Source organism: Homo sapiens, chromosome X (genome assembly GCF_000001405.40).
Source record: "Homo sapiens chromosome X, GRCh38.p14 Primary Assembly".
Taxonomy (NCBI): Eukaryota; Metazoa; Chordata; class Mammalia; order Primates; family Hominidae; genus Homo; species Homo sapiens.
Window position 1 is genome coordinate 12,326,014 of NC_000023.11, and position 27,081 is coordinate 12,353,094.

The following is a 27,081-nucleotide window of genomic DNA, read 5'->3' on the forward strand; positions in this document are numbered from 1 at the left end:
CTCTAGGTCTTCTCAGATGGTCTGTTTCATTTCTTTAGAGGAGAATGTCCTCATTTCTTGCCCTGGAAATTACTGGCTATGGGCACTTCTACATGAGGGAATGGGTGGGATAAGTTATTTAATATACAGGTGTGTAAGTATTCCTCCTATTTTTTTTATCCATGCTAATGCTACTCAGTTTTGTATTTGGCATTTTTAAGTCTCAAGCTTGTTGACATTCTTCAAATCAGATCAACTGCCCCATCTATTTTAGATCCCTCTGGTGATATTTAAGCTTCCTGGACTGTGCAGAGAGACTCAATGATGGGCCACTGAGGAGTTGGACCACAACAGAGTTTCTTGGCCTCAGCATTATTGGCATTTGGGGCTAGATAATTCTTTGTTGTTAGGTGCAGTCCTGTGCATTGTAAGGTATGTAACAGGATTTCTGGCTTCTCCTCATTCAATGCCAATAGAATCCCCCACCCCCAGTTGTGATGGCCACACATGTCTCCACATATTGCCAAATGTACACAGGGGGATAAAACTGCCCCTGGCTGAGAGCCACCAAGTCCTAGGGGTGCTGAGAAATCTGTGCCTCTCAGGTGTTGTCAGGGCAGCTACAGGCCCAGGACATGGGCGACCAGCCTCAAGCATTCCCTCTGTTCTTTCAGTGAGGCATAATAATATTAATTTTTGCTGGATGCAGTGGCTCACACCTTTAATCTCAGTGCTTTGGGAGGCCAAGGTTTTCTTGAGCCCAGGAGTTTGAGACCAGCCTGGGCAACATAGTGAGACCTCATCTCTACAAAAAAATTAAAAATTAGCCAGGCTTGGTGGTGTGCGCCTGTAGTAGCTACTCAGGAGGCTGAGGCAGGAGGATCCCTTGAGCCCAGGAGTTTGAGGCTACAGTGAATTACGATCGCACCACTGCACTCCAGCCTGAAAGACAGAGTAAGACCCTGCATCAAAAAAAAATTAATTTCCATCTGAGTCACAAAATGAGAAATTTAGGAAACAAAGTCAAAGTCACAACTTCTCCAGGACCTGCAGCTCCATCAGCTCTTCATCATCCCATTACTCCCTCTCTGAGCTGCTGACACATCCTCTATCTGTTCTCTCTGTCCATTATCAGTTCTGATTCCATTTTCTTCTTTATTGTCATTTAAAATAATATCTCATGGGAAAAACATGAATATGTATTGTCTGTCTGGCATTTTGAACTGAAATCTTCACCATAATGTCCTCTAAAGTAAAATGCTAGAGATTGGGAAACAAACTGAAGTTTATAGTTTAGAAATCTTTCACATTAGAATTTTGTTATTGCCGTGTTTTAATTGTTTGGTACATGTAACATTTTAGAAAATTATTACCAAGGGACTTAATTTCTGTAGCTGATCCTATAACTGGCTCATCCCAAGTCAGAGTTGGTAATATGACTGTTCTTTGTTAGGAAGAGAGCTGGCATTTGCTGAGTTTGTTTGAGTAATAATGGCCCTCAAAAATATTTCCAATCTGATCAAACCTAATTCATTTACTCTTGTAAAAAGAGTCACTTTATATTATACAGCAATTAAAATATTAATTTTTCAAATATTGAACTTTATTTTCCATTTGGTTATTTACTGAATTTGTGGTATGCAAATTTGTAGTTTATTCAATTGACTCTAGTAACAGTTGCCAGAGGGAATAAGTCTGGGTCAGCCAGGGAACTGGCTCTGTAATCTACCTCCTGAGATGAAAGTACTGCATAGCAGATCTGATTTACAGTTTCATTCAGATAGTTCATCATTTTTCAGAGAGAAAAAAAAAAAAACGATTACATCTAGCTCAGTGCTCCTGCTAGTACACACTGTGCCTTTGTGAGGATTATAGATTATTTACAAAAGTGGCCCCATTTCTTCATCTTTGCCTTTGTCCATGTTTCTTGCACTGTGACTTTTTGGCTCCTCCCATCAATAGTTGGAGTCTACTTCTCTTCCCCTTGAATCTGGGGTAGCCATTTGCCTTGCTTTGGCCAATGGAATGCAGGAACAGTGATGACATGCCTTCTCTGAGCCTAGTCCTTAAGAAATATTTTTGAGGGCCATCATTACTCAAACAAACTCAGCAAATGCCAGCTCTCTTCCTCACAAAGAACAGTCATATTACCAACTCTGACTTGGGATGAGCCAGTTATAGGATCAGCTACAGAAAATAAGTCCCTGGGTAATAATTTTCTAAAATGTTACATGTACCAAACAATTAAAACTAGGCAATAACAAAATTCTAATGTGAAAGATTTCTAAACTATAAAATTCAATTTGTTGTTCAATCTGTTGTCTTTGTCTTGGAATATTGTGCAGCCCTCATGAGATTAAGCCAGGGCTAGATTGCTGGAAGATGACAGATGACAGATCACATGGGAGAGAAGAGCCATCCCAGCTGAGGCCACACTAGACCACTAAGTCCTAGCTAACCAAGCATTTGACTGCAGTTGTGTGAGTGAATTGCCAACCTGCAGAGTTGTGAGCTTAGTAAAGATAGATAATAGTTGATGTTTTAAGCCACTAAATTTGGGGATGATTTGTCATATGACAAAAAGTAACTAAGACAGTGAAAATTGGAAAAAGGCACTGCTTTGGGTGGATGAATTATATAATGGCACCTCTTATTCTGATGCAGACCTTTCTAGAGTACACATTGTTACTATCTCCCTCAGGTATCCTAATGCAGGCTACAGAATTCAGAATCGGAAACAATAGCCATGAAATCTAGAGTCAGGTTGCTGCCCTCCACCCTAGGCACAGCCACTTAGAAGCTGTGTGATCTTCAGGAGGGAACCTCATCCCTGAAAGCCGGTATAGGGCTTATACAGTTCAGGTATTAGAAAGGACTCACTAGATACCACAGAGTGTACTGTAGGTGCCAAGGGAGAGCTTTCCATTTGGCCCTCTGAAGGTTTGCTGAAAAATCAACTTGCAAAAGGCAGATTAATTGGAGAAAAGGCATACTAATTTACTTAATGTGTACACATGGAAGCCTTCAGAACAAAGACCCAGAGATACTGAGGAAATTGTCCATTTTTGTGCTTAGATTCAACAAAGGATGGACAGGAATATAGAAACATGGTTGGACAAATAGAGTATGATCTAGTGCTAATGGACTGAGTGGGGAAATCCAGGAAGGCCTTTCTGTCTAGATTCTTCTTGGCATCTCTAAGCAGCCTTCCTTCCTTCTGGGTGTGGGGCAGAACCCTCTCTGGAATGGGGGGCCTTAGGACCTGCAGCCAAACAAGGTAGGTCAGAGAATTTCTTTATGGCCAGTTTCCACACAAAAAAGCAGAGGAAAAGTTATAATAGTATTTTCAGGTTTTATGGCTGGCTCTGTGGCAAAGGGGCTCTGGTTTGTATGGCATGCCTTGGGGAAGAGGGATGCTAGTTTGTATGACTAGCCTCAGGGGAAAATGGGACTGAGAGACAAGAGAGCAGCAGCAGGTCAGAGAAAAACCTTTTCTTCTGAGGCCCTCAGTTTGGGGTATTGCTTTCTGAACCCCCAACAATACGCATGTGAAGCTTTTGTTTAAGGAGAAAAAGGATATGGTGCAGTAAGAGAAAGTAAATGTGGGCAACATCAGGAGTCAGAGAGACTTTCCAACAACCCAGAGCCCTTTCTTCGTTTCAGCACATAGGGCCAGGCTGAGTCATTGGCTTGAACATCAGGATCTGTGTGCCCAATCTTGGCTTGGGGAGAGTTCAGAGAAGCTTTCAATGCAAGGGTGCTCCTGAATCTCTTTCGTTATAATCAAGCTAGGCAAACCAGTTAAGGCAGTGCAAACCTGCAGTAAAGTAACTTATTAGGTGGGTTGCCAGGACAGTTTCTAACCAAAAAAAAAAAAAAAAACAACAACAACAACTTAAATCTCACTGCCCCTATCTTGGCCAACAGTCAAAAAGCAGACCTCCGGCACTTTCAGAGATAAAGAAAGCTTTTTCCACCCCAGCTGTGAATCAGTTCTATCTACACAGCCTTATTTTCCTTATTTGTAAAATGAGGATAATTATACACCTTTTTACAGGATTCTGTGGGGTTTATATGAGGTGATTCATGCAGAATACTTAACACAAGTACCTGGAACTTAGTAAATATTCAAAAAATCTTCTGTTACTAATTAAATAAAGAGTACTCAACAAGGAGTCAGCAGCCAGATTTGAACCATGTGACTTTGGACACAGCACTTCAGCTATCTGGGCCTCAGTTTTCTTATATTAAATTAGGGAAGTAATGATTAAGTTACCATATCCCGTGATAATGTCATGATCATCTTTAATGCCCCCAAAGCCAAGTAAGAGCACCCTTTTATAGTTAGTTCATGCAAGTTAGCATCTAGTAGGTGAAAATGCTAGAAAAAATTACTTTTCTTTATTCCTAATTCCAAGAGGGTAGTGCATAAATTCTGTGGACAATCTAGTAAGCAATTTTCCAAAGTAGGTTGCCTGAAGGCTCTAGGTTTAGAAAAAGCCATCAAGAAGAGGTTTGAGAAACTTTGGCATTGAAAGTCTGGGCATCAGAGAATAATTCTTTTAGGACCACTTTGGTGGTGGGGACGCACTGGATTCATGAACCATTGGTAGCCATGGAGTTTTCCCTAGTGGTCGGTGGACTGCTAGAGACCTTAGGCTGGGATGTTACTTGCTAGACACCCAAGGAAGAAGTGAGTGAGAAACTTTGTTTGCCGCAGTGCCCTTCTTAACTGATGCTTGGTTTCACCTCTGAAACAATATTGACACCCTCGTGATGCTCCCTGATGCCTTAATCCCCCTCATTCTGCCCAAGGTATACCCTCTTGCTACCTGTATTCACCCTCTGTGCATCCACACTCGCTAGGGCTAGACACTGAGTGAATGTGTAGCTATTCCCTGCAGAAGGAGCTCATGGCTAGGAGCAGAACTAATGATTTACAGCAGGGATTAGCAAATATTTTTTGTAAAGGGCCAGATAGTAACTATTTTAGACTTTACAAGCCATACAGTTTCTGTCACAACTACTCAACTCTGCCATTGGTTATAGCACCACAGCAGCCACAGACCACATGTCAATTAATGGGCATGTCTGCATTCCAGTAGAATTTTATTTAGAAAGTGGGGGCAGCTGGTTTTGGCCCTCAAGCTACAGTTTCCTGACCCCTGGTTTGGCAGAAATAAAATACATATATTGTTAAGGGCTGTGCAACAGAGTGTTTTCGGGATTTCGTTTTTTTTTTTTTTTTAACATGGAAGGAAAATCTTGTCCATTTTGAAAGTGATATAACATTATAAAGACATTAAGGTTAATCCTCAGAGTGGTATCATGTCGACATATTTCAGAAAATAACAATAGTAGTCCAGCAAATAACTCCTCCAGGTACTGAAGGTTATATTTGTTCTAGGTGGAAAGCTGGTAAGCCTCTCAAAATGAGAATGTTGGTAACAAATAAAAGTTCACATCTGAATTAGATCTCTGACACAGAGAACAAAAGGCATTTTGAAACTTGAATACCTATAGAAGCCCCGTGAAGTGCAAGGCTACTTGAGTTAGAAGCAACAATGAAACTCATCTCACTTAGTTATATGAAACGAATCATATATATATATAATATAATATATATATTATATTACATATAAATTATATAAATTATATATTTATATAATATATAAATATATAAATTATATATTTATATAATATATAAATATATAATATATAATTTATATATAGTATATAAATATATAATTTATATATTTATATACTATATATAAATTATATATTATATATTTATATACTGTATATAAATTATATATATTTATATACTATATATAAATTATATATATTTATATACTATATATAAATTATATATATTTATATACTATATATAAATTATATATATTTATATACTATATATAAATATATATATTTATATACTATATATAAATTATATATATTTATATACTATATATAAATTATATATATTTATATACTATATATAAATTATATATATTTATATACTATATATAAATTATATATATTTATATACTATATATAAATTATATGTAATATATAATTTATATTATATATAATTTATATTATATATAATTTATATTATATATAATTTATATTTTATATATTATATATAATTTATATTTTATATATAATTTATATTTTACATATATATAATTTATATTTTATATATATATATATATAGAGAGAGAGAGAGAGAGAGAGAGAGAGAGAGAGAGAATTTGGCCATGGACTGAAGGTAATAAATACCATTTAACAAATGTAATGTTTCAACATTGAAAATGAAGAAAAGGCCGGAAAAAACCTGGAATAGTTGACATTTTGATATTTAAAACTTTTATTGGGGAAAAGTTTAATGCTTCATGCTGCAATTTGATTTTCCTGGTTTCCAAAGCAGTCAAAATACAGAAACTGTAGCCTCATTAAATCTAAAGAAATAAGCGAGTTGATCAAGTGTGCTCATTGGGTACATAATAGATAGATGAAATGCAAATACTTACTGGAAAATATGATTAAATGCATGGTGTTTTCCAAGTCGTTTTAACGTTTATGTCCAAATTAATTTTATTTTAGGAATCAGGTAGATAAATTGTAATTTACTGCTTTTCACCCAAACTTGAATTGGAACTAGTATTAAAACTTATGATCTTTGGTTCATGGGTTAATTGAGAAACCTGAAAGGAGTTTTTTCTGGCAATTTTGAAAAATAGAATTTTTAAATCACTTAGCAACGTAATTTAACGTTTTTAAAGTAAAAATAAAAGCCACTAATAACCCCTCTATATTGTTTATTCTTTCTTCTTAAAGACTTCACTCTTAAAATACTGCATCATTAAGCAAGGTGCCCTTGTAGTCTGAAAGCAACATATGGACAGAGTAAATATAATCCCGATTAAGCTCCCTGTTTTATATGGAATGGCAGTAGAGCCAGACGTTTTAAATACCTGCAACTTGTCAACTCCTAATTTGTGGTTTCCCATCGTACTAAGGCACTATGGTATATTTTTCCTAACTACAGATGTTTGCCATTTTTAACCATAATAAATATACCAAAAGTTTTTCAAGCATTATATTATCTACCTCATTTAAAGATAAACATCTGTTTGCTTTAAAATTGGAATAAAGTCTATGAATCATAGAATAAGTGACACATTTTATAGGCCATATGCACAAACTCTAGAAATGGGCTAATTTTCAAAATTTATTATGGACAGGCAATTATGTGCTTGAAATTTTGCAAGCCTATATGATTCATTACCTAAGCCACATTGAGGATTTTTGCATTTAAAATGTTTTTTTTTAAGAAGGCAGTCACTTGGGCATATTTATTTTTTGAACTCAGTTACTAGAGGTATGGCCAAGATGAAAGGCAACTGATATTGGCCTAAGTTCATGAAGCAGAAATTATGATCCTCAGAAAAGGTAGCTTTAGACATAAGGATGCTGACAAAATGAATCTTCATTCCTTAAAGTTAGCCAGGAAAAGAAATGTTTCAGAGGATACAACTCAGGTTCTGAAAATTAAAATCTGAGCTACAAATGGGGAAAATTTTACTTTATAATTTCTGCAAAATTTGAGTTTACCTTTTATGACTCTGTGTGGTCTATGACATGGAGCAGAAAAAACTTGTAAACATAAGTTTTTTGACAAAAGATTAGAATCATGATCTTCCCTTGCTATTGTTTAACAAGCCAACCAACCAGTTTGTTTAGAGGTGAAATTACATTATGATTGGGGAATCTTTCTGACATTCACATAATTTATATAAAAAGCATACACGCTCCTGGCTGGAAGAAACATATTCAGGTATGTAGCTTTTTGTTTGGTGGCTATCTCCAAATTGTTTTAATTTTTGCCAGAAGACTATACTAATGTCCACTTTCAAGAATATAGGTGCATCTTGTAGAGATTAGAAACAGGTTTCCCTAGGTCTTTAGATAACAGGCTTTTCTGATGTGTGTAAGGTGCAATGAAAATCTGTGGTTCTGCATTATCCTTTCCCATTAAAAGATCCTTTTTCTGTACTGTGCAGTCATATACTTTTATTGGGAGATTATGGAAAGGGCCTTCACCTCTTGTACCCTGTAAAACACAAAATATTACTATAGTATCACTATCTGCCTTACAGTGGAAAGTAAGTTTGACAGTAAGCTTTATCCTCACTTTTGGTCATATTTTCTTCTTTCAGGGAAGGAACCAGTTTTGCATTAAAATTGTTTAAATGTATGAGGTAATGAGAGTCAACCTAGTTATTTAATTTGCATGCAAATGGAATTGCCCCCAGCCTTCCTTTTCTTTCTTTCTCGGATTCGTGTCAGGGCCAGGCCATCTATCTGGTGCTGGAAATCATCTCTACCTCAATAACCTGCCTCAATGGTGGTGCAGTGTTCCCTAATATGGGCACTGCCAAGTCAAGTGCAATGACAAAACTTACGTTATGCAAACTTATTCTAAGTGTATACTTTATGTAAAGGTGCACATTCTTGGGAGATAAGGCAAGTTTCTGCATCTTCTAAGTTACTAAGCCTCTCTCTGTTCCTCTGCATAAATAGGTGTGGTATTTGCAGAACCCTCTTCATTGGTGAAAAAAAAAAAAAGCCAACTTATGTATAGGCAGGTAGCTAGAAGAGGTGTTTTGGCCCTTGTGGTTATTAACTTTGAGTTCTAATTCTTTCCGTTAAATTTGACAAATCTTTATTGTGCACCTGTTATGTGCCCACTGTACTGTGAGAATGGATGAGACATAGGACCTGCCCCAAGGAGCTCACAGGCTGCAAGGAGAAAAAGACATAAAGACAGCTCTAGTACATCTCAGACAATTACTATTACTTTCCTGTGAAAATGCATCTTTTAATAAATGCCAGGTATTGTTCTGAGCTCTTGATATACGTTATCTCATTGCATCCTCTCAATAACACTATGCGGATTATTATCCTATTGTACAGAGATACAATTGAAGTTAACTAACTTTTTGAAAGTCAGGGTTCCATGCCTACTTCATTGGTACCTAACTCAAGGAGTTGTTGGTTTCACATTTTCCTGGGGAAAGCACTGCATTTCATTCAGAGCTCTGTATTAGGATATGCATCCTTCTTTTTTTCTTTCTTTCTTTCTTTTTTTTTTTTAAAGCAAGGTCTCACTTTGTCACCTAGGCTAGAGTGCAGTGGTGCAATCACAGCAGCCTCGACCGCCCAGGCTCAAGTGATCCTTGCACCTCAGCCACCGGATTAGCTGGGACTACAGGCATGCACCACCATACCCAGCTAATTTTTAAACTTTTTTGTTGAGACGAGGTCTTGCTATGTTGCCCAGACTGGTCTCGAACTCCTGTACTCAAGCCATCCTCCTGCCTCAGCCTCCCACAGTGCTGGGATTACAGGCGTGAGCCACTGTGCCTGGCCTAAGATGCACATCCTTCTTAACTTGACATTTTAAAAAAGCTTTCTTAGTTTTATATAATCGTTTCTTTGAAAATAACACATTGCCTCCTACCCAACACAAGGAATGTATTATAAGCCTCCTTCCCCTTGGACTCTGCGTCTAGCCTACTCCCATTTTCCAGGGCCATTTCTCTCCCCACTGAGATGCTTTCACTATCTACTCTCTTTTACAAATTCCAGGGCACTTAAACCTCTGTTTCCACCAGGAGACTGAGTATACTAGTTACCTGCTCCTGCAGGGCACATTTTGTCTTCTCTTTCTCTCAGCCTCTCTATTGCATTAGCCCTGAAGCCTGGTTTTGCATAATCACAAATTTCATTTATGCCTTTCCCCAAGCAAAGGTATGGTCCTCTTGCAAGGAGGAACTGCTATCCGCTTAGAGTAATTAGCTTCCTTTGCAGCCAGCTTTGACAATATCATTTATTTCGCCTCAATCACCTTACTTATGACTCTAATTTGCACAGAAGCATTGACTGCACCTTTTCAAAGGAATCAATGGAGTTGCTTTAATGCCCATTCTTGGTGACTGAGTCTTTGCCTGGTTGAAGTTCTAAATGCAAAACTTTTATTTCCCTGTGTGTGATTCACTTTTAGAAAATAACTTTTCTAATTTCCAAGATTTTTTTTTTTTGGTCAAAAGGCAGAAAACATGGCAGAGACCAAATGAGGGCCATTTGAAGTGGTTTTCTCTAAGTTCAAAGAGATACCATAAGGACTTGCTTTCTTTAGATCTTGCTTTAGCTCCCTCTGAGGTAGCCAGTAGGATGCAGAATATATATCTCTGTCCAATTTCAACTGGACAGTTGTTGGAGCTCTGTAAGTTCTTTGTATCTGGCAGTTGGCATAGCTACTTGTGGAGACCTAAGTGTCAGCATTAGCAATGGCCTTGCCAAACCTCATCTTGGTAGCCCTGGGCTGGAAGGCTTATTTCTCTTTGGGTCACTCCTCAAGTTATAATGATGTATGGGATTCAGAGAGCTGAATGTTGCCTTAACTGTCCTAGACAACCCCTTCCAAGAAAAAGATGCATTTTCTGAGTAGAGTGGGAGAGACACATCTTTTCTTAAATAGAGGCCTAGAGTAGTACCTGGTACACTGCTGATTCATGTATGGAGCCACATCATTAAGCTCACAGACACTGTACAGGGAACCATAACATCTCACACTGGCAGGCTTATCTTGGGAGAAAGGCCAACGGACCTTTCTCCATAACATCTATTATGGACTTTTAAAAACTAACTATGTTTTTGATGTAGCCAAACAAACTAATCCCATGCTGAGCCTGAAAGGTCACACCGCTGGTTCAGGAAAAACGTCCAACTTCAAAGCAAAGCTTTTCTGTTTAGCTGCAAGGATAGGAAAAGGGGATTCGAAAAGACAAGCAGTGTGTGTGTCGGCTCAAAGCTTTTGATGAAGAAGAGCAATGGAGTGAACCAAGAAAAGTGATCTGGCAGAGTAGCAGGTTTGAATATGATAATATTAGGGGAGTATGCTGGCAGGGCTTGAGTGGGACTGAACACTGCAAAATGGTGTACTTCTGTGTGTGTTAGGAGGAAGTAAGTGGGCAATGTAGAAAAAGTTGAGTTTTGAGAGGTCAGGATGTATAGAATAAAGGAATGAAAATCTGTAGACACTTTGACCAACAAGGAAGCAATTATAGCAATTCAAACACAACCCCAAATTATCATTAAATCCATGCAGTATACACTCCTGGCCTCATGATTAATGCCAAAATTAAAGATGATCTTTTCGTAGGCAAGTGTTCATTAAGAGACTTTTCTGTTTATTCATTAGCTCAATATTTTTTAATTGCAAAAATTAAGTAAAAAAATATCATTACTGTCATTGTTCCGGAATATTGGGCTATATAGAACGTTAATTGAGGATCCAGAGAGAAATCATATGTACCTGATTAGGAAAACTATGATTAGGATTTATAAAGAATGCACACATATTCCAGGACTATACTGTGTAATATTTTAAGTGTCTGGTTTATGAAAGTTATTTGGAATATAGGATTGAGGTAATGAAGTATACTTTTATGAACTATCTAGATCAAGTAAGATAAGGAAATGGTCAGGGGCTGTTATTTTCCTTATTAGGTGTTCTAATAACCAAATATGCCTTTGAGCTTAATGACTGCAGAGGTGCTTTGCGACAGTGATTTATACTCTCCACTTAGGATGGGTTGTGAGGTCAACTGTGGCTTTGCAGAATAAACCTTGAGGAAGATTGACCATTCAAAAAAAGGCAGTTGGTGAAAATAGTTTTTTATATGGTTAGATTGTTTTACTGTTAGTTTTTGATGTTACGTTCTAGCTTCATAAAATAATATTATTTCATTCGGCATTTAGTTTGATTTGACTTAGTAACAAAGAAAAAGGGGCATGTATACTTGTCTCAGTCCATTTAAGCTGCTATAACAAATTACCTTAACTTATAAACAATAGAAATGTATTGCTTACAGTTCTGAAGACTGGGAAATCCAAGATTAAAGTGCCAACAGACTGGGTGTCTGGTGAGGGGTCCCTCTGCTTCAAAGATAGTGCCTTCCTATTGCACTCTTACATGGTGGAATGGGGGGAACACTGTGTCTTCACATGGTGGAGTATGAAGGGGAGCTTCCTTCAACCTCTTTTATTAGGGTGCTAATCCCATTTATGAGGGTGGACCCTCATGACTTAATCACTTTCCAAAGGCCCCACATCTTAATATCACACAAGGGGGATTAGGTTTCAATAGGAGTTTTGGAGGGACACACTCAGGCCACAGCAGTGCCCATGTGCAGAAGTGTGCCTAGATGTAGATCTGTGTCCTAGACAGTATATAGCCCTGTGGAAAAGGCAGATGAAAGCAGCTTGAAAGGAGACTTATAACATCATCTGCATTTCCCCACTATGATTTATAAACTGAAAATAATCATTCAACCATCCATTATTCAGTAAACACTGATGGAGCAGCCATTATAGGCATTGATTGAGCACCTATGTGTCAATCAGTGTGTTCGGTGTAATGCAAATACAAATATGGATGAAACAGTCTCTTGTCTGAAAGAATTTACACACTATTTGGGGATACAGATACAGACATGATTTAAAAAGTACAAATTGATAGGTACTTAAGTGGATATAAAATATTTTAGAAATGTAGGGATCGTTGCCTAGTGTTGCCCAAGTTAAGCCATTAGAAGGGAAGACACAGCTGTCAAATACGTACTACCTGGAGGAGCTTTGGCCAAACAGTTGGTGCAGTATTTAAGTTTTACAACAACCATCAAGTAGCATCATTATTGCCTTTTTATAAATAAGGAAACAGAGGTTTCCAGAGGTGAAGCAACTTGCACCAGGGCAAATGTCCACATGGGTAGAGCCAGGATTTCTATCTCAGTCCACTTCACTCCAGAGCCCACCTTGCCTGTGTTCCATGTTGGATTTTGAAGGGTAAGTGGGAATTCACCAGTTAGTGCGTAGAGGAAAGGAAATTTTGGCCTGAGAACAGAGCATGTAGAAAGGTCCTAAAATGTCAAAAAGTTTTTGAGTTTGGGTTAAAGCATTTTAAGAGAAGGACAGCAGGAGGGAAGGAGCTTGAGGGTGGGGAGATTGTCAGTAAACAATTAAGGGCTGCAATCCAGGCCGAACATCCATCTGGGAGCAGAACATTTTAGTTTAGTCTTATTTTAGAGAGGCTCACTTCTAAGGATTTTTTTAATTCAACATGGTTAAAATGTAGACAAATTTAATTTATTGAACCCCAAATCATGTTTTTTGAATGTTCCAAGGCATTTTTCTCATATCAGGACAGGATGCATATGATCATTTATAGATACCAGGCTTCTGTGTATGAACCATAGTTTGAATACATGAAATTTGTTTTTGTTTGTTTCTTTGTTCTTGCCTTTATGCCTTGATGTTTTACATCATTGTGTATTCTTTGCTTTTTACATCTTTAACCCCACTGATTACACTCTCATTAGTCCTGGCTAACCTATGTCAAACCACTGTCCATGTTCAGGTACACAATTTGCCAGTTCATTAATTTCAGGCATATTTCATTCTTTCAGCATTCCTGGGAAAGTATGAAGTAAGAGATCAGGCATAGTCTGACCAAATTCTTGCTTATATACCACAGCATCATTGGAAAAAGTTTAATGAATTTTTTTTTTTTTTTGAGATGGAATCTCCCTCTATTGCCCAGGCTGTAGTGCAGTGGTGCAATTGCGGCTCACTGCAACCTCCGCCTCCTGAGTTCAAGAGATTCTCCTGCCTCAGCCTCCCAAGTAGCTGGGACTACAGGCACATGCCACCATGCCTGGCTAATTTTTACATTTTTAGTAGAGACAGGGTTTCACCATATTGGCCAGGCTGGTCTCGATCTCCTGACCTCATGATCCGCCCACCTCGGCCTCCCAAAGGGCTGGGATTACAGGCGTAAGCCACTGCACCTGGCCAATGGTATTTCTTAATAAACAAATTTGGGTAGCAATCAAGCCACTCAATGGTAAATGGGATTTTCCCTCTACTCATTCTAAGAGTTGATTCGAACCTCTCCTGAGAATTGTTCTTCCTCTCCTGAGAATTGTTCTTCCTGATAGACTGCAGTTTCACAGTACTTCTGTGCTATCTGCAACAGGCTTCCCATTAGTGGCACTCAAGGACTGGGTTCTCAGATTGCCAAGTATTCCTTAGGCTCATTACAACCATGTTACACCAATACAGTGTTGATGGTATCATAAAAGTTAATAACCACTGCATAAATGTCAGTTTTTCCAGTGGAAGTGAAAACAACGTTTCAATACTTAGCATTTTTCAGACATGTTTAATCATTTGCATGCACATTTAGTTATGTGTAAAATGGTCTATGGAGTATTGTCAAAGAATAAAGAAGAGAAAAACTGGCTTTATATGAGAGAAGAGAGAGAAAAACCAGCCTAGGAAGAGTGAATGTTGGTTCCTATTTTGGGGGAAACTGATTAGTTAGTTGGGAAGGAGGTCAAAGTAGGCAATTTGTCCTTTAGTAGGCCAACTAGGGTTATCAAAGAGAACCATCACAGTTCTGAAGGATCTCTGAAAACCTTGAGATCTTAGCTGAGAAGTACATGTAACAAGTTGTCTCTTTGTGAGGTCGGCCACTGTCCCCTACCTTAGTAAGGCAAGGTCTGCACCATTTCTCTCTTCAGAATGCTCACATTTTAAAGATAAAAAAAATTTATTTTTATGTAGTCTGTGGACCTTCATTTTAGGTTATTTTATTTGTTAGGGTTTTGATTTTGACATCAACATTGATTTTCAATGCGCTCCAAACTTTCCTTACCTTTGTTAGTTGCTCCACGTTTTACAAATGTTCATCTGTGCAACTAATGGTCTACCTAAATGATCTGTTTCAATGACGTGACTTTTCAGTTCTTTGCCTCCCCTTGACTGCACTCAAGGTAGATGGCATCCCAGTCATGTCAGTTGAACTATTCAGCACGTTCTACTGATAGCATCCTGGAGTGAGGACTGGGAGTCTCTTTACTTGACTCACTCTAAATTTCAGGAAAATTACAAACTTCACTTTATTTATAAACTTCAGGCCTCCAGTTCTCAGCTTAGTTTAGTTTAGTGAGTTTTTGTTTTCTTTTTGTTTTCAAGTCAGTTTTTAAATCTCTAAAATGACTGAGTTTGAGGCCATGATGTTTCAAGTTATTTTAGCCTTTAATTCTGGAGCTAGGACCATTCTTCATAAAAACTTTTCTCCCAAAGCATTCCCCTTTACCTTCAAGGCATGCAATAATATTTCAGAATAGTGTCATTTTAGGAAATATATCAAAAAAATTAATCAGAAAGCAATGATGCATAGGAAGACAGCTTAATGAAATATTGTCCTACCTTGAACCATTTTTTTTTTCTTCATGGGTAAGTTACTGATTCTATTAGAACTCAAATTGTGATTGCTTTCTAATTCATGGGCACTTTTGCATCTTGATTACTGACTCTAAAGGAAAGATGAAATTTGTTTTCCCAAACTATTGTTATTGTTGCCATTGTTATTGTTATTAACATACACCATTTACTGAGTGTTTGTTATTTTTCAGGCACTCTGCTGTTTTATGAGACAGGCATTAGTGTCCCCACTTACAGTTAAGGAAACTGAGGCACAGAGCAGTTCAGTGGCATGAGGTCACACAGCTGGTAAGTGACAGATCCAAGATTTGAACTCTGACTCTAAACCTTGAGCTCTTAATATTCTATTACATTTGATTTTTGCTGGTTGACTATTGTTATGACTCTTCCACAAATTTCTATATTATTTTATGTCTCCCAACAAAATGTATGAACAACCTGTGATTCAAGGAACTTTAAAAAAAAAGTCCCTTTTCAGATATTTTAATGGCTCTTGAAATTAAAATTCAAAAAGCTCTGGATCACCATAGTTAATCAGAACTAGAAGCTCTTATAGAATTGCTTTCTGCTTAATTCTGTAGGGGAAAAAGGCTAAATGGAAAGAAAGTAATTTATTGCCAAAATACTGATTTCTGCCTCTGAATTTTGGCAAATCTCCTATATCTTTTAGAATTGATATTCAGTAGAAGAGATCGGATTTGTGAACCTGAGCCATATATTTGCTATGCTCTAACTACTAAAGCAGATGGGTTGACTGATGTTTATTCGTTCAACAAACATTTAGTTTTTGGTGATGCTTACTTGGAGCTAGCTACAATACAAGACACTGTAAAAGGAATAAAATAACAGTTGTCTCTAGGGTTCCATAATCTAAAAGAGGAAGGCATATCTGAAAGCAAATAGGTATATTTCTATAAGCAATTGCTAGTACTTATTGAATATTTCTCTGAGCCAGGTGATGTTCAAAGCTCTGTACACATAGTGTACATAGTTGGGCAATCAAGACCCTATAAAAAAAGGTGCTGTTTTAATCCTCCTTAAGAAATTGAGGCATGAAGAGGTTAAGTGACTTTCCCAGGGTAACAACTATCAGTGAAAGAGCAGGAAATTCAAATACAGAGAGCATGACCTGGAACCGGTGCCCTTGATGGGGTCACGGGTGGGTGTGGTCTATTCTAGCTGAGAAGAGGACATTGGAGCTTGGTTATGAATGACAAGCTCACACTGGGAAGGCCATCCCAAGCTAAGGAAATATTTGGAAAAATAACAGAGGCAGGAAAGTAGAAAGCAAATGTTTGTGGAGCAGTGTCAGATCAACCTGGTAGGAATGACATGTGTATGACATAATGTGGTTAAAGGAGTTAAGGGTCACTTTATAGAGGGCTGTAAAGACCAAACTGAGAAAATTAATTCATAATTCATTTAGCGGATCTTGATGTCTCACTAGCCATGTGTCCATTTTATACATATCAATTCATTTATTCCTCATGATGAGGTGATGTGTCATATAACCATTCCCGTTTCACAGATTGGGAAACCAAGTATACAAAGAGATTAACTTGCCCAACATCACATAGCCAGTAAGAGGTAGAGCTGGGATTCAAATGAGGAAGCCTGGTTTCCGAGGCCATAAGTATAACTGTGATGATGCCTTACTACTTAGAAGTGGAATGATGTGATCAGAGTTCAAAACCCATGAGTGAGGACCCATAAACGGGAAAGGAAGGAAAAGAAAGACAAGTGACTTGGGGAGAAGAGACCAGCTGAGGTCACTGTGGCACTCCACTGGAGAGACAGTCAATTGACACCAGGATGGTAGCAGTGAAAAGGAGAAAGATGAATGAGGTAGGGATGGGATTTGGAAGTAGGAGCTCAGAGTTCAAATTCTGACCCTGTCCATTACTGGTTACTGAGTGACCTTGGACTGGTGGATTAGCCTCTGTGCTTTGATTTTCTAATTCACAAAGAGGGGAAATGCAGCAGAGCCCGGGTGAATGAATTCTATTTTGGCCCTGCTGATTGGGAGGCGTCAGCAGGCCATCCATCTGGCTGGGCCCAGCAGGTCAGTTAGAAATCTGGGTCTGGAGCTCAAGAAAGAGGTCAGGCCTATAAATGTACTTAGGAGTCACCTCTAGGGATGTAAGAGTTGAAATTGCTAAGAGGGATGTCTAGAGGGGAAGAGAAATGAAGAGAAGAGAGCTGATGAAAAACCACTCACCCCTCTTCCTGAGAACAGGTCAGGATTGATCAGGAGATTACTAGGAGCATATTCCATTTGTCTATATTCACTAGTTGATAGTTAATGTATTTTTTTAATATGTGAAACTGTCGCTGACCTCTTTTCTCATATCAGCGTTTTTTACCTGCACACGATTTATCATGAGCTTGAGGTTGTGAGCACTGATGACACTTATTTATTGGTCTCCACATTTGCCGTTGCTTTGGAGAAAATCGCTACAGCAGCATGACCTCAACAGCAGCCTCATATTACTAAGTTCATGAACAAAACCTGAAAGTAGGTTTTCCCTTCCGTATTTATGTCCCAAAGTCATCATTTTCTTTTCTAAGCATCATCATATGTTGCCAGAGAAATTATGAAGCTGTTATTTGGTGTTTTATTAATGTATGCATTCCCTTAATTTAATTTGGAATTGGAAAAGGTACTGTGTGACTAAAGTTGTTTGGAAGAGCAGTTGCCCCAAATGGGCTTTGAATTGGCTTCTGTTAGTGCCTGTTTTGTTTTTCACTCTCAAGTCCCTTAGTACACATCACTGGTGTCTATCTAGACTACCTGCTTTTGCCTAAGGCTCACCTCAGCAGGCTGCACCATTCAAAAAATAAAAGCAAAGCACACAAACACAACACCAGGAAGCCTTGCAAAATCAATGTAGGTCTTCGTTGAAGGTCTTGAGGTCTTCGGTGTGAATGTATGTGTGTGAGATATGGGGGTCATCACATCTCACTGCAAAACTTTCCCCTAATTATCATTCAACTTTCTCTGTTTTCCAAATCCTACTCCCTCCAGTACTGCTCAAATTCCATTTCTTCTCTTCTCTTCTTTCTCTCAGCCACCAGACCCTCCTCCACTTTTTAAAATCTTTTGATATTAAATTAGACCTCTTATCTGTCTCCCCACTCGCATCCCCATTTGCAGTCCTTGTCAAAACCAACCCGTTTTCTTTATTATTCACCATCATTAGGAAGTCAGAGAGGATGAATTTTAATGCTTTGACCCTGTCAGGAAAATGTTGATTTTATAATACTAATTATTAAAATAGTACTGAGCCCCATTCAATAAATCATATACAGCAGATTCCTAACCAAAGAGCATTTATCTTTTTGTACTTTAGTGAGATTTCATTGACCTTTGCAGACGAGTTGTGTTGACTTTCTTTGGAGTCTGTTCCTGGCTTTTCGTTGTTGTTTTTGCAGCCTTCAGTAGATGGCAAGTGCTGAATTCCAAGTGTATGGAGATCTCCCGTGGTCCACCATAGTGGGGAGGGGGGATAAATCTAACTCTGAAATTCTCCTTTACCCATCCTTGCACCCCCATCTAAGCACACACAAAGCAGGAAAAAAATCGTAATCAAACTCCTTCAAGCTTTTTGTTTGTTTGTTCAAAGATAAAAGTTAAACCTGGTAAAAAATGAGTACAAGAAATTCCAGGCCTCATCCCAATCAGGCATTCAGTGGGTAGATGGATAATGGATGGAAAGATGGATGGATTGATGGATGAATGAATGAATGGATGGATGGATGGATGAACAGACAGACAAATGAAAGGATGGATGGATGGATGGATGGATGGATGGATGGATGGATGGATGGATAGACGGATGAATGAGTAGATGGGTGGGTGGGTGGATGGATGGATGGATAGATGGCTGAGTGGATGGATGGGTGGGTGCGTAGACTGTGTAAAAGGAGGCAGTCCCCTTCCTCCTGTAATGTGTGATGGTGAGAGAGATGGGTGAGTGCTCACAGCCTGGTTATGGATGTGTGTGACCTTGCCTTTCAGATCTATTTTAGCATCAGTTTAAGAAGACACTTCCTTTTCTTCTAGCAATTGCACCTCTAACCCTTTTTCTAGCAAATTCAGAAAGGCTGAGTAGCTTTCCCAATAGCCCAGGTGGTACTGGGCTTCTACCCAGAGAAACATGGATAGAACTGTCAACCAGGGCTAATGATGGTGAGCGCTTGGAGAATTGGGGAACCTTTGCAATTCCTCATGTTGCTGATTGTTATTACCCATTGCCAATTCCCCAATGGATCAGTCTATATTTTGTGATATGAACACATGATTTGTGGATACTGGGAGACTGGGAGGGATGGTAGCAAATCTAATTTGTCACTAATTGAGCCAATGTAGTTCAGTCCTGTTAATTCTGTACTTTATTGAACTCTAAATCTATTCACATCTCATAAAACATGATTAATCTCTCTAGCTCTTTAAAATACAACAATATATGGCGTGCTTAAGGCTTAGGAATTTGACAAAGAGCCCAAGAATAACTTTTTCTCTGAATTCATGAAAAGCATTGGTTAAGCTACTTTATGAACAAGAAATCTGTCATGAAAAAGAAAAGAAATCTTCTTTACAAACAGTAAAGCTTAAGAGAAATACTCTTAGGATTTCAGATGTAATTTTGCCTTTGAAATACCTTTTGTATGAGAATTTTAAAATCTCTAGTTTTTTTTTTTTTTAAGTATATTGGAAGGGTAAATACTAAATAAAGATTAATGTAATTGTCTTAAACTACCCAAAAGTTTGAAGCCAGTTGTAGAAAAAAACAAACTAGTAAGCAAAGATATGGTATGTTGTTGGGATGGCAAGCTGATGGTTAATAGGAAATTATCATGAATGAAATAGCATTATGATTCACCAGGGAATAAGTGGAAAGGTTTCTTGGGATGATAGTGTTTTGCAGGAAAAAAAAAAAATAGGTTGCATTGGGATTCTGTAAATAAAGGAGAGGAAGGCAGAGTCCAATCTGAAATTGTTATATTGGGGGATTGGGAATGTATTATAGACAAGGCTCTGAGCATAGTGGGCTTAGAAAGAGTCCTGGGTTGAAGTTCAAACCTTCTCAGTCATTCCTGCTGAAACCTTGGCAAACTTATATAATATCTTGGCTTACATTGCCATATATGTAAAACTGGCAAAATAATACCTACTCCAGAGAACCGCTGCGTAGATTATTAATAATGATGTAAGTATATTCCCTCCCTTTTTGTCCAGCATACCTTTTGTACATACGCCACTGCTTTTAGCACCCCTTACAAATAATTTGGAGTCTGCCTCCTAGATTTGCCAAAAATGGAGCATACTTTTTTATTCTTCAGTCACCTTCTTGATTTGCCCCTCTATTTGTTGAGGGAGGGTACCAATTACAATTTTTAGTGATTCAAATGGATGCTTTCATTATTTCCCAAAATAATACGATAATAATATCCCCTTCTCTTAAAAAAGTCATCTTAAATCTTAAAAGACATTTTTACTAATTCATACCAGTAGAATTGGCATTTACAAATAGGATATGAAATTATGTGGAATCTATTATCCACTCTTCTGAGACAAGTAGTTAACATGAGTAATATTTTTCATTGCCACAAAAGTGGTTGTATAATTCTCTTTTTGTGCACTTAATTGGGGTAGGTTGTGATAATATAGTGATTCATCCTGGTTGGGAATGTTGTGTTTAATTATATAATCTGATTGAAGAAAAGCTCCTTTCTTCAGACTGGGCACAGGAATGCAGGCTAGATAAATTTCATATTCTTTCTAGTATATGTCTTTAATATTTTATATATTTAATATTTTCCATGGCCATTTGTTTTAAGAATTCTGGCACTGTTTATCATCTTATAATATCCAGAAGTTTTATTTTTTATGTTTTTATTTTTTTGAGACAGGATCTTGCTCTGTCACCCAGGCTGGAGTGCAGTGGCGTGACCATAGCTCACTGCAGCCTTAAACTCCTGTGCTCAAGTGATCCTTCTGCCTCAGCCTCTCAAGTAGCTAGGTCTACAGGTGCACACCACCATGCTGGGCTAATTTTTTTTTTTAGTAGTGACAAGGTCTCATTCTGTTGCCCAGACTGGTATCGAACTCCTGGCTTCAAATGTTTTTCCCACCTTGGCCCCCCAAAGGTCTGGGATTACAGGCGTGAGCCACAATGCCTGACCTTGAATTTTTAAAAGTACCTTATAATATTGATATAAAAATTCACCCCAGAATTAGTTTAATTATACATGTGAAAACATAGGTGATAATTTTTGAGAAGAAATATTAACAAATAGTAAATAGTAATAAGTAAACTTTTTACTCATTCTAATTATTTCATAGAAGTGTCACAATATTGAATTTTGGTCTGTCATCTAAGGTAGTATCAGTTCATTTAAATTATTATTTAAATTGTTCATCACAGTAGAAGTCATTATTTTTAAATATTACAGTGAAATGTGCTTAGTTTTATTTTTTAATTTTCAGTTTTTCTAAATGTTGTGTTGTATTATTATATACATACAGATATTTTATATTTCATTATTATTGCAAATTTTTCCAAGCAGAATGATGTAATTTAAAATAATACCATCAATTTTCATTTGAAGCAGTATTTCATATGTAAACATATATTTGATATCCACATATTGGACTTGTTTTTTCCTGCTGAGGAAATCTAATTTATGAACAGTTGTTTAGTGGGAACACTCAAAGTATTAAGGATAGATTTCACTAGATTAAATTCATGAGGGCTGATAACATAACTTATTTCTATATCATCACTTACAAACAGTTACAAACCCTTACACTGAGCGGTCAGCAACTTATTTTAACAACAAACCAAGGTTGGAAATGAAACTGTAGATTTTACACTGATGAAGCTTTTGTTGCAATCAGCTGATGACCCTATTTAGATGTTCAGCATTCTCCATCCACTGAAGTCAACCTCTGAGCTTACTTAGGCCATAAGTAAAGGAAACTCTCAGAGAAGCATTCACTCACTGTCATATTTCTATGAGTGAGAGGGAAGCAGAGGATGAGGCTGCTTTGTGATTTCATTTCTCATGCTAGAAGAGAGAGAAGAAATGGGGGCTCCCTGGGAATTCCAACCGTGCCCAAAGGTAAAATACACAGGAGGACCCAGGTAATTTCTTATCACCTGAAGTAAGAACTGAAGACACTTGTCCTGGGTCTCCCACTTCCCAATAAGCAAATGCTGAAGGAAATGCTTCCAGGAAAAAAAAAAAAAAAAAAAAGTGGACCTTGACTAAGCCTTCACTGTCCAGAAGACCTGGAAAAAAAGAGGCATTTTAAAAACACGCTTTGACCATAAACTAATTGAAACCAAATGAAAGTAAAGAATTAATTTGTCTGTAGGCTAAGGCTGGTCTTACTTTATGGAACCCAAAACTTCTGTAAATTGAATAATGGAGAAATTTGCTTAAAGATGTCAGAGTTATGATGTTCCCCTCATAAAGTAATGGGAAACAGCAACAACAACAAAAAAAATGCAAAGCAAAAACTCCATGTTTAATGAAACCAAGGAAGCAAGCTATAAAAGTTTGCCAAACTAACATCCGAAGCTACCAACCTCGATATGGAATTGTCACAATGATATTTAGCCTAAACACAGGGGGACTGGAAGAAAAGGGAGAGCTCCATAAATGGGGGAGGCAGATGGGAAACGCCCAGCAAGTGGGCCTGAAAGAGTAGGCTTTGGGTGTGGGTGTCTCTGTCCCCCCTGGAGACCCATGGTGAGGTAAGGTTGAAGCAGGAGTCACTCAGACATGCAGTGTGTGCAGCAGGCCAGGCCAGCTGGTAGAGGGGCTGTGTGGAGGGGAGCAGTGGGTGGCAGTCAGCTATGCAGAAGTTTATCTCAGCCGAAAGGAAATAATTTTTAAAACACGGAATCTCCACAAACATGCACAGATCTCCCCCACAAACCATATGCAGACCTTCTATTTGCACTGAAGATGGTGAGGAGGATAAAGAATCCTATAAGTCCCGATGTGATCAAAAGCAAGTCACCTGGGGAGCGAGGGGGTCGGTTAGTAAGGCGCCCTCTGGAGTCCTCCATAGGATACTAAGCCTAGTCTTGAGTAGCCTAACAGCTATGGTGTTGTGGGAAAACAGCAGCGAAAGCCAAGACTCTTATGCTCAGCCAAATTGCCATTCAGTAGAAATGCAAAAAAGAGACATTTCTGAGCATGTAACTGAACATGACATTTATGACGTCTCTTGAAACAAAAACCTTGATTGTGAGATCTCTTCAACAAGAAATTAATATAGAAACTGAAATGAGTATTATGTCCGGTTCAATCAAAGGTCTAACCAATCATGTGAAGTAGGATTACAGAAGAGAATGCAAATATTGTATGTCTTCCTAATGGGTCATTAATAATTCAATAATTTATATAACATTATTAACAAAATTTCATGGCAGGAGAGGATGTGGGAGACATTTAGGGATGTGGATTTCCTCGTATTTCATAGTCAGGAGTAAAAAGATACTGCCTAAAATGAATATATGAAGCAATAGAGGCTTAAATTATATTATAAATGCAATGATGAAAAACCCAAAGATAACCAGTGGGGAACATAAAACATAATATAGCAAATTGAAATTGACAATGGAGCAGGAAGGGGAGTTAAGAGGAAGCTATGTGCATTGATTTCTCTTAGAGTTGATTGTTAATAGACCCTGTCTAAAATTAGTAACACATGAAACAGATGTTTGAACATATAATACACTAATAAAGGTAACTACTAGAAGACCAAAAAATTATTATATATAATTATCAGCAGCAAAACACAAAGAAAACAGATCATATAGCTGTATAATTTAAGTATGGAACAAGAAGGAGGGAGAAATATTTTCCTTTTGTTCCTTATTCCCTTTATCCTGTAGGATTTGATTTTTCAAGTTATTTTTTATACTATGGGCCTTTTAATTTTCATAATTTAAACACGAGAGAGCTTTTTTTTCTAATTTTCAAATTTTAGATTTCCTTTATGTTTGTATTGGTCTTAAGTGCAAAACTTCTGGCCTGTTTTCTTGGCCAGATTTCAGAAGATAAAGCACCAGATTCATTTGTGAGAATTGTTCATAGGGGTCTAACATCTGCTTCAGTCATTGTGACCTCATCTTTATTGAAAAGGAAAGTTGTTTTGGAACTACAATAGTGGGCTGAGATAAACTGTCTCATAGTCTCATATTTAATTAAATTTTCAAAATGTTTTTGATTAAAACTACCCGGATATGAACTGAATGTCGAAACAGGTTAGACATTTCAAATTGACTTTGTAATAAGTTAAAAACAGGTCAAGAGACAGGAAATGAAAACTGGAGGTGAGCAAGGAAAATCTCAGAGTAGAAAAAGGTTCATGGAAAGTTGTTTTAGAATGAGTGTTTTTAAATCTATTGATTAAACCCTTGAAAGAAGGTACATAATGACAGAGCAAGATGTGTGCAAAGTAGAGGATGGCAAGAAATAAGAAAACATTTGGAGAAGATGTGCTTGCCTATAATGTGTGATTATTGGCCGGGCACAGTGGCTCACGCCTGTAATCCCAACACTTTGGGAGGCCAAGGCGGGCAGATCACGAGGTCAGGAAATCGAGACCATCCTGGCCAACATGGTGAAACCCCGTCTCTACTAAAAATACAAAAATTAGCTGGGTGTGGTGGCGCGTGCCTGTAATCAGCTACTCGGGAGGCTGAGGTGGGAGAACAGCTTGAACCAGGGAGTTGGAGGTTGCAGTGAGCCAAGATCGCGCAACTGTACTCCAGCCTGGTGACAGAGTGAGACTCCACCTCACAAAAAAAAAAAAAAAGTGTGATTATGCTACAGTTCTTTCTAGAAAGCATTGCATAATGGAGATTCCCACTAAATTTGTAGATCTTGCTGCTATTTTGAAAGCCACCATTTCTGATGACTTACTTTATTGCACCATTGGCACAGCCCCCTGCCCCCCCATTAAAAATAGAGGAACACGTGACTTGGTTCTTTAGGCTTGAATTTCTCAGCAGCCTATAGATAAACAGTTCGCAGTCTTGGTGATTTCAGTCTTGGACATTTTTCTTTCAACTGGGGGACAACCTAGTGACAATCTCCATCATTTCAAAAAAATATGGAACATTTTAAAGTAAACTTTTTATTAAGGTGTAACACACAGAAAAATGGGCAAGTCGTAAGTGGACAACTCAAGGAATTTTCATAAAGTAAGCACACACTTGCTTGCAGTTACATCCTAGAACAAGACACATAGCATTACTAGCTCAAGTGAAGCCTGTCATGCCTCCTTGGCACCACTATCCAGCCAGGGCTGATGTCTATCCTGACTTCAAACATCACAGATTAGTGTTACCTTTTTCAAACTTTAATGGAATCATATAGCATGTATTCTTTTGTATTTAGTTTCTTTCACGCAACACTGTGTTTGTGAGTTTCATCAATGTAGTGGTATGTAGGTGTAGTTCACTTATTCTCAATGTTATAGAATTCTATTGAATGAATATATCACAAATTACTTAGTCATTAAATTGTCGATGGACATTTGAGTCATTTCCAATGATGACCTATTACAAATTGTGCTGACGTGAACATCCTACTACATGTCATTTGGTAAATATGTCTGTGTATTTGTGTTGGGTACATATCTAGGAGTGTCATTGTTGAGCCAAAAGGTATTTTTCATAGGCTCAGCTTTAGTATTGACTTCCAGTTTTCCCAAGTGTTAGCACCGATTCATTCTCTTACAGCAGTGTGTGAGAATTCCAATTGCATTTCCACCTCTCCTCAACACTTGCCATTATGGATCTTTTTCTTTAAAAAATTTAATGTCTTTAAAATTTTAATAGGAGGCTCTATTATAAACATCTATAAACCTTTTTAACAAATTGCTTGACTTTAAAGGAAAATCATTTTTTAAAAATCACAAAGTTTGTAAACCTACTGAGTTTTGCTTGTAAATATTAGCTGTTCTTTCTGTGTGTGACCAGTCAAAATATCTCGACTCACATGTTTTGCTTGATATTTCACTGAATTCAATTCAATCCAATGTGAACATCAAAGATACGTGGGATTATGAACTTCAAATTAACGTTAAAGAATGCTTTTAGGAACTCTACAGATTATTAAATTTTAACTTACTTTGTACCTATCTTTTAAATCTATTTCATCAGAAACTATTGATAGGAATGATTCACTTTTAGTTAATGTATCTTTTTCATTGTAGCCATTCTGATGAGTACACAGGGGTCTACTATTGTGGTTTTCAGTTGCATTTCCAAAGAGGGAACATTTTAACAGCAAAAGTAGAGTATAAATGAAGAAAAAGAGATAATCCTTTCCCAAAGAGAATAGTTTGGCAACTTTTGTTGACCTGCAAATTTTTATACACACATACATATCAAAAATATGAATGCTGGAAAATGACAACATAACATTTTCCTTTTACCATGTTACTTGGATCTTCGTTACTTTTTGACATGCCTGTGTTAGTTAGTTTGTGTCTTTGCTCCTGTTGTTATCTAGTTCAACATAAACTCAGGAAAGGGAGCCTGGGTATTCCTTTTGTTCTGGTATTTCCATTGTTATTACATTCATAATTGAAATTGGAATGAATAGGTATATACTGATTCTGTGAACCTAGAATGGAATATTCTGACCAGACTGAGAAAAGCCAGTCGATAGCTCATATGCCTGAGGCTCCCCGCAGGGCTAGGACGAGAGTGTGGG

General features: G+C 37.6%; 1 protein-coding gene across 11 annotated transcripts in view; it reads left to right on the forward strand.

Moving 5' to 3' along the window:
* Positions 1–27,081, forward strand: part of FRMPD4 (FERM and PDZ domain containing 4) — a 902,085-nt gene that overhangs the window by 503,575 nt on the left and 371,429 nt on the right. For 2 of the 11 annotated variants that reach the window (NM_001368402.3, NM_001368401.1), the window contains exon 2: positions 15,528–15,624. The exons of the other annotated variants lie outside the window; for them this stretch is intronic. In NM_001368402.3, the coding sequence (NP_001355331.1) occupies positions 15,608–15,624 (17 nt within the window). In that variant the 5' untranslated portion in view covers positions 15,528–15,607. The remainder of the gene's footprint in view (positions 1–15,527; positions 15,625–27,081) is intronic. 11 annotated transcript variants of the gene reach the window in all.